Source organism: Homo sapiens, chromosome 12 (assembly GCF_000001405.40).
Source record: "Homo sapiens chromosome 12, GRCh38.p14 Primary Assembly".
Taxonomy (NCBI): domain Eukaryota; kingdom Metazoa; phylum Chordata; class Mammalia; order Primates; family Hominidae; genus Homo; species Homo sapiens.
This window is the reverse complement of record NC_000012.12, coordinates 8,024,022-8,032,566: the sequence shown is the minus strand read 5'-3', so window position 1 is coordinate 8,032,566 and position 8,545 is coordinate 8,024,022. Positions and strand designations below refer to the sequence as shown.

Sequence of the window (8,545 nt, the reverse complement as noted above, 5' to 3'; positions counted from 1 at the left end):
CTACCCGGTGTGCGCTCCGCCTGGAGAGCCACGGCCGCTCTCACGCCGGCGAGGGATCTCGCCGCCCTCGCCCACCTGCGGCCGCGTGGCTCCGGGAGTTCGCCGTCTACCCGGGATGACAACTCACTGCTCCCCGTCGGGAGAGTCCCTAGTGCGCACCGTATACCGTCAATTCCAGCTGACACCCCAACTCCGGCGTTTCATTCTGTTAAACTCCGTATACAGATGAACAGCCCCAGCTTTCTCAGGACTGTCTTTGATGGGCTTCTCTTTCCCTCGAGATAATTTATAAAGGATCATGAGCATTGAGGTGAAGATTGGGGTGAAGTTTATATGTTACCCTTATATCATCCTGGAATTCAGTAAATGCTCCTTGAATGAGTGGATACATGATAAATGAGCGTGTAACGGTGAAATAAACATCAGAAGATCTGGGTCCTGTTCCTTGTTTCAGCTTCCTAAACTTGTGCATGGCCCTTGTTCTCCGCAATCTTGCTCAGCGAAGAAGGGACCTTGATACTTGGCCTGCTTACCCTTTACAGCTGTCACATCCTGAAGTCATATTATTCTGCTGCAAATTCTCATATATTTCATACTCTGGCTTTTTTTTTTTTTTTTTTTTTTTTTTTGAGGTGTTGTTTCACTTATTGCCCAGGCTGGAGTGCAATGGCACGATCTGGGCCCACTGCAACCTACGCCTCCCGGGTTCAAGCGATTCTTCTGTCTCAGCCTCCCCAGCAGCTGGGATGCCTCAGCCTCCGGAGCAGCTGGGATTACAGGCGCGCGCCACCACGCCCGGCTAATTTTTGTATTTTTAGTAGAGATGGGGTTTCACCAAGTTGGCCAGGCTGGTCTCGAACTCCTGACCTCGTGATCCACCTTCCTCGGCCTCCCAAAGTGCTGGGATTACAGGTGTGAGCCACCGCGCCCGGCCCATACTCAGGCTTTTTAAACTTTTATCAAACTACCCTACTTTCTTTCCTTTCTTTCTTTATCTTTTTCTTCTTTTTAAATAGAGGCAGGGTCTCAGTATGCTGCCGAGGCTGGTCTTTAATTCCTGGGTTTAAACTATTCTCCCTTTTTATGCCTCCAAAGTGCTGGGATTACAGGCAGGAAACACGGCCCGGCCTACTCTCTACTTTATAGCACATAAGATAATAGGAGGCCAGGCGCAGTGGCTCACGCCCGTAATCCCAAAGCTTTGGGAGGCCGAGGCGGGGGGATCACTTGAAGTCAGGAATTGGAGACCAGCCTGGCCAACGTGGTGAAACCCCTGTCTCTACTAAAAATACAAAAATTAGCCCGGCGCGGTGGCGGACGCCTGTAGTGCCGGCTAAGGCAGGAGAATCGCTTGAACCCGGAAAGCGGTGGTTGCAGTGAGCCGAGACCGCGCCACTCCACTCCAGCCTGGGCGACAGAGCCAGGTTCCGTCTAAAAAAAAAAAAAAAAAAAAAGAATTAGCCAGGCGTGGTAGTGCGTGCCTGTAATCCCAGCTACCTGGGAGGCTGAGGCAGGAGAATCACTTGAAACTGGGAGACGGAGGTTGCAGTAAGCCCAGATCGTGCCGCTGCACTCCAGCCTGGGAGACAGTGAGACACCGTCTCAAAAAAAAAAAAAAAAAAAGATAATACGAATACAAAAATATTGCTTGCAAAATATTTGAATTGCCCCCAAAAGACTGCATACTTAAGTTGTATGTATATATTATATGAATAATTATATTTACAATATGCCAGGCATTGCACTGAGCATTCTGCATGTGTTGTCACATTGATGATTCTAGCGATTCCCTAAGACACTATTATTATACTTCTTTTACAGATGAGAAAATTGTGACTTACAGATACTATGTGTGAGTTCGCTTAATTAGTAAGTAGCAGAGTCAGGACTTAAATCCAAATGACTCCGATGCCCAGCTCTTGACTTCTATACCATTGTCCGGAGCGATCAGAATTTAAAGTCATCCTCAAAATTAAAGGCAGTAAACCAAAACAAGCCTGTTCTTCCTGCTCACACTTCCTATATTCAGGTTTAAAGATGTATTTTTCCTCTCTTTGAGGCATTAAATAATTCTCCCACACGCAGATAATTTGGCGGCAAATCTTTCTTGCTATGTATTAGATGTTTTGTTATGTTTCAACCGTTTTTGACATTTCCTGTGTATGGAAATTGGAGGGCTTGAGTGACAGGCAGTTGTACTAAAAATGGAAACATGAGGGAAGGATTAGAATCTTCCTGGCAATTTGGAAAAATAAAAAGCTCAAGAAATTATTTGGTTTTTACAAGACATTTGCTGCAGTATTTTTTGTAACTGGAAAATTAGAAAAGACCTAAATATCCAAAATAGGGTAATTTTAAATATATTATGGCACATCTGTACAACAGAGTACTATTTAGCATTTGCAAGAATAATTGTATTTATCTCTGAAAGGTAGAGTGAGTGGAGTTGTTTTATTTTTATAATGTTCTTTATCATTTAGATATTTTGCAGTAGGCATACATTATTTTAAAGAACCATTGTTTTATATATCTGACTTATTTGAGTGAGAAAATAATATTTTAAAATTTGTATAATGCAATCATATAGTTGCTTTTTAAAATATATATATGTTCATGCATATATTTGTGTGCATACCAATAGACACATAGAAGATGGATACACACCAAAGATGTGAGTTTATGGATTATTTTAATTTACTTCATTTTTTAATGTATCTATAATTAGTGTTTGTGTAGATTTGCTTATGTAATTTTTAAAATTAAAAGAAACTGACAAGGCTGGTTTGGTATGGTTTTGCCCTAAGATTGGGGGGAAGCACTTACATTCATTCTCACTTTACTTTCTATTAAGGCGGGTAATACGGAGAAGGATTTTTTAAGTCACTGAAACATACAGAAATTAAAATGTAAGGATCCACTCTTCTTTGTAATAAAACATGTTATATAATTATTCATGAGTGTTAATTTACCTTGAGCAAAACTATTCTTTATAAAATTGGAGACTAATATGCTACAACGCACGTTTTGGAAGCACTTATTAGAGACTGTGTATTACGTGAAACAAAAATAGTGGTTCTCAACTGTGAGTCCTAATAATTGTGAGAATTTAGGTAAGTCATTTAACTGCTTTGTGACTCAGTTTCCTCATCAGTAAAATGGGGATAATAATAGTACCTATTTCATAATGTTGTGAAGGGATTATGTGCCTTTATACATGTAATATATTTAGTTAAATGCCTGAAGGAGGAAGGACCTAGAGACTGAGAGGCTTATCAACCAAATGCAATATATGTGGACCAAGAGACATGTCCATCAAATACAATATGTAGACCTTTTGAGGGATCCTGATTAAAACAAAGCAACTGGAAAAAATATTATGAGACAACTGGTAAAATTCCAATACTGAGGGCGATATCAAACAATTATTGTATACTTTAGGTGCTAATGGAATTACCATTTTATGAATATTTATGAATACTAAAGTATTTAGACATGAAATGCCTGAAATTTGCTTCAAAATAATCAAGTAATGGGGGAGAGGAGTACAGATGATAGATGAAAGATTGAACGAATGTTGCTTTTTACAACAGTTTTTTTAAAATGCTATTCTCTGGGCCAGACGTGGTGGCTCATGCCTGTAATCCCAGCACTTTGGGAGGCCAAGGCAGGTGGATCACCTGAGGTCAGGAGTTCAAGACCACCCTGACCAACATGGAGAAACCCCGTCTCTACAAAAATATGAAAATTAGTTGGGCATGATAGCAGGTGCCTGCAATCCCAGCTACTCGGGAGGCTGAGGCAGGAGAATTGCTTGAACCCGGGAGGCGGAGGTTGCAGTGAGCTGAGATCGTGCCATTGCACTCCAGCCTGAGTGACAGAATGAGACTGTCTCAAAAAAAAAAAAATCTTATTTTCTCTACTTTTGTGTGTGTTTGAATTATTACAAGATAAACAATTTTTTAAAAAGTACTGTTTAGCCGAGCGTGGTGGTTCACACCTGTAATCCCAACACTGGGAGTCTGAGGCGGGCGGATCACGAGGTCAGGAGTTCGAGACTAGCCTGGCCAATATGGTGATACCCCTGTCTTCACTAAAAATGCAAAAATTAGTCGGGTGTGGCGGCACGCACCTGTAGCTCCAGCTACTCGGGTGGCTGAGGAAGAAGAATCGCTTGAGCCTGGGAGGCAGAGGTTGCAGTAAGCCAAGATCGCGCTACTGCACTCCAGCCTGGGCGACAGATCGGAGACTCCATCTCAAAAAATAAAAATTAAATTTAAAGTACTGTTTAAAAATGCTGGAACATAGCTAGGACTATGTTTACTATTATTATATGCTTTGTATGTGTAATACTACCTAATGTCTGTTTACACCTTTCAGATTACAATGTTTTCATTTACACTAGGTCTTTTAGGATTGACACTAAACCTACGAGGTGGGGAAATGTTATTCCCATTTACAAATGAGACAACTGAACCACAGCCAAGACCGCATCTCCACTCTTCCAGATTCCTGGGGACCTGTGATCAACGGAGTAGGGGGTAGCCTGCCGCCACTAGACACAGAGTTCTGACCTCTTTTAATGACTCTAGTCAGGTCTATTAGAGAGAAACTAAACCAACATAGAAACGATTCATTTAGTAATATTTATCAGACAAAATATGAGCTTACATTTGCACCATCAGAAAAATTCTAACTGCTACTTTAAAAGATAATGGGGTCACCATTGACTCTATGGGAATTGAAAAAATAAAAAGTAATGGGGGGAATAGAACGCAAGATATTAAATCATAAAGGTGAAGTTATCTGTATAGTTTGTATTTCCTTTACATAACTGTTTATTATTTACAGTTTTCTACGTTAACTTTCCTTTTTTTTTTTTTTTTTTTTTTGAGACGGAGTTTTCGCTCTTGTCGCCCAGGCTGGAGTGCGGTGGCACGATCTCGACTCACTGCAAGCTCCGCCTCCCGGGTTCACGCCATTCTCCTGCCTCAGCCTCCCGAGTAGCTGGGACTACAGGCGCCTGCCACCACGCCCGGCTAATTTTTTGTATTTTTAGTAGAGACGGGTTTTCACCGTGTTAGCCAGGGTGGTCTCGATCTCCTGACCTCGTGATCCGCCCGTCTTGGCCTCCCAAAGTGCTGGGATTACAGGCGTGAGCCACCGCGCCCAGCTTTTCTACGTTATTTTTCTATCCTCTTCCCAGCCTGTTTGATTTCCACTCCCCTAAAAATTAGACTGGAGCCAGGGAACAAGAGATGAAAAACTGGGAGGCGAGGTTGGGAAGCAGGGGCCGGCACATCCCAGCGGTAGAGGCCCAGCAGCCCAACATTCCTGTTCCACCTTAAGAAGCTTTCGCCTCTGCCCAAGACGAGCAAGCACTCGGCTCCTCCCACCCCCGTGTCAGCTCCGGCCCGGGAACGTGGGCTAGGCAGGAAAGACGCACTGAATGGAAAGGTTGGCGCCAGAGGCAGCAGGTCTCTCCTGCCCCCTACTCCACCGGCGCGGGGAGGAGCGTGTGAAGCACGGGCCATTGGGGTTGGGTTCCTTTCTGGAGGACCTCAGGGATAAGGACACGTCCTACTGAAACTGGGGGCCGGGTACGTGGGCCATGGGGCCCATCTTGGGGTGGGGTCTTGGGGAGACAGAACTGGCACAGGAGATACACAGCACGCCGCGATCGTTAGCAAAAGTCGTAAGTTTCCCTCGTTCCGGACGCACCTCTTCAAATCATTTCCAAAAGAGGTGGCAAGTTTTCCATCCTCCGCCCCAATTCTTCATCTTCCTCTTAATTGGCTGGGGTTCGGGTAGGCCCGGCCCAAGATCGCTTGTTGATTGGCTGCGTTGGTAATCTATCACAGGATGACGCACGCGAGGGGTGGTATTTGGGGGAGGAAGTGAGGATTATTTTGGTACCTCCTACCCCAACTACTGATTGGCTGAGATTTGCAGTGATGTAAAACAAGACATAAAAATGTCCACTAAAGGGAAGGGTCTGTTTGCCATTCTCTCTGGGCCGGGGGGACTCTGTTAATGTAGAGAAGGACCAAACTGATTGAAACACGGAAATGAGTTTAGAAAGGAACTGAAGGAAAACGAGGGAAATCCGCGACACCTTCGTTGCCTTCAAACAAGGTCATTTCCTGCACGGGATCGATGGTTTCCTGTTTACTGCCTCCGAAGTCTGCGTGTACACTGGCTTTCTGGAATCTGCATGATAATTAAATTCTTATGAGCCTTTGGTCCCAGACTTCCCATTTGTTTACGTTACATAAGAGAATGAATGACACGGAGGAAAGGAAAAGGGTTTCACCCTGCCTTTAGACAAGGACAGGGAAAACTAAGTTTCTCTAATATTAGAAAGCTGAAGACTGACCCTGGATCACAGTATTCAAGCAGTTGGGTTAGAAACCATTCGTATAATAGTTGGAGAGAGTAGATGCAGGTGAAAAGAACTGTAAAGATTTCTCTGAATGAAGGGCATTAATCACATACAGAAGCCTTCCTCGTTAGAGAACTACATCTTTTTTTATTTTTTTTATTCATTTTTTTTCTTTAGACAGGGTCTCGGTCCATCACCCAGGCTGAAGCGTGATTTCGGCTCACTGCACTCTCCGGGATTCAAACGATTCTCCTGCCTCAGACTCCCGAGTAGCTGGGACTACAGGCGCCCGCCACCACGCCCAGCTAATGTTTTTTGTATTTTTAGTAGAGACGGGGTTTCACCATGTTGGCCAGGCTGGTCTCGAACTTCTGACCTCAAATGATCCGCCCACCGCAGCCTTCCAAAATGTTGGGATTACAGGCGTGAGCCACCGCGCCTTGCTGAGAACTACATCTTATCTCTGGTGCCCGGCAGTGTCGGATACATAGTAGGTAGTCAACTGATGATGTGAACCAAACCAGAGGGAGAAGACTTTTATAAAGTACACTGCTGGGCACGGTGGCTCACGCCTGTAATCCTAGCACTTTGAGAGGCCAAGGCGGGCGGATCACCTGAGGTCAGGATTTCGAGACCAGCCTGTCCAACATGGTGAAACCCAGTCTCTGCTAAAAAATGCAAAAATTAGCCGGAAATCGCTTAAACTAGGGAGGCGAGGTTGCGGTGAGCCGAGATGTTGCCACTGCATTCCAGCCTGGGCAACACAGCGAGACTCCGTCTCATAAATAAAAAAATAATGCTGGAAAAATCCTAAAAATGCGAGACTTGAAGTAGATCTGCTTCACAAACCTACCTGAGATGCTACTTCACAAACCTACCTGAGATGCTACTTCCATGAGAAAATGCTGTTTTCCTCCTAACACCTTGAGGCCTTTAAAATTTGAAAGCAGATTTCCCCTCAACCTACCTTCCTGGAAAAATTGAAAAGATAGGTGGGATTAGTGAAAAGATGTCCTCTACATTCAGTGAATGGAACATAAAGTGTTTATCCTACAATCTGAGGCAAGAGACTAGGAAGAAATTATTTGAGAGCTTGAGAGGTATCATCTATACTATGTTAGTTATGGAATCATTTGCTTCCTTAGCATGATGTACACTTTTTTTCTAGTCCGGAGTTTTTCTTTCCTTTTTTTTTTAAGACAGAGTCTTGCTCTGTCTGGAGTGCAGTGGCGTGATCTTGGCTCACTGCAACCTCTGCCTCCTGGCTTCAAGCGATTCTCCTGCCTCAGCCTCCCAAGTAGCTGGGACTACAGGTATGCCACCACACCCAACTAATTTTTTTGTATCTTTAGTAGAGGCGGGTGTTCACCATGTTGGCCAGGATAGTCTCGATCTCTTGACCTCGTGATCCACCCTCCTCGGCCTCCCAAAGTGCTGGGATAACAGGCATGAACCCCTGCACCCAGCCTAGTCCAGAGTTTTTCTTATACTTAGAGCTCAGCGATGCTTTAACATTGTCTAAAAACTGCTCTAAACTTGAGGACAAGAATTTCCCTTTCATATTATAACTATCCCTACCACAAGACTCTGCGGGGGCTATTGGTCAAGATTCTGCAACGGTATTTTCTGCTTATCAAAAGAGATCCTATCTTACGATTCTCTAGGGTCTTCTAGGTCAGGTGGTTTACAAAAGAGTATATACAATACTGGCTCTTTAGTATCATTGTGGCGATAGTTTAGGAACAAGGAAAGGAGCAGGAGGCAGCTATATTTGCAATAACAAAAATGCCATGGAAAAATTATTACTGGGCTGTAAATAATTCTGGCATAATAAAGTGTATATTACCTATGCCAAAAGAGAGGGGAGATGTTAATATTTTCAAGAATTGTGTTTGAGGGAAAAGTGCCCTTTGTTCCTAGTGATATTAAATAAATCATGAAAAACATACAAAAAATTATTTTTAGGCTAATAATTCATACACTTACAGCACTGTCACTTTCCCCCTGATGATGGGCAATAAGCAAAAGCAGAAATTTTTTTTAGCAAGGGGAACCTAGAGCCCAACACCAAGTCTGAAGAAGGAAAGAACTGGTATTGTCCTAACCATAGATCTAAGCCCTCCAATTTGTAAAGGGGTGGTACCTTGATTGGTAAGAACATGACAT

At 43.7% G+C, this 8,545-nt stretch overlaps 2 annotated features.

The window, feature by feature from the left end:
* Positions 17–166: a silencer, noted in NCBI's record as "silent region_4206". NCBI's record gives its function as "represses an Ori minimal core promoter by ATAC-STARR-seq in GM12878 lymphoblastoid cells {active_cell/tissue: GM12878}" and the evidence as "EXISTENCE:reporter gene assay evidence [ECO:0000049][PMID:35858748]".
* Positions 5,562–5,751: an enhancer, noted in NCBI's record as "active region_5924". NCBI's record gives its function as "activates an Ori minimal core promoter by ATAC-STARR-seq in GM12878 lymphoblastoid cells {active_cell/tissue: GM12878}" and the evidence as "EXISTENCE:reporter gene assay evidence [ECO:0000049][PMID:35858748]".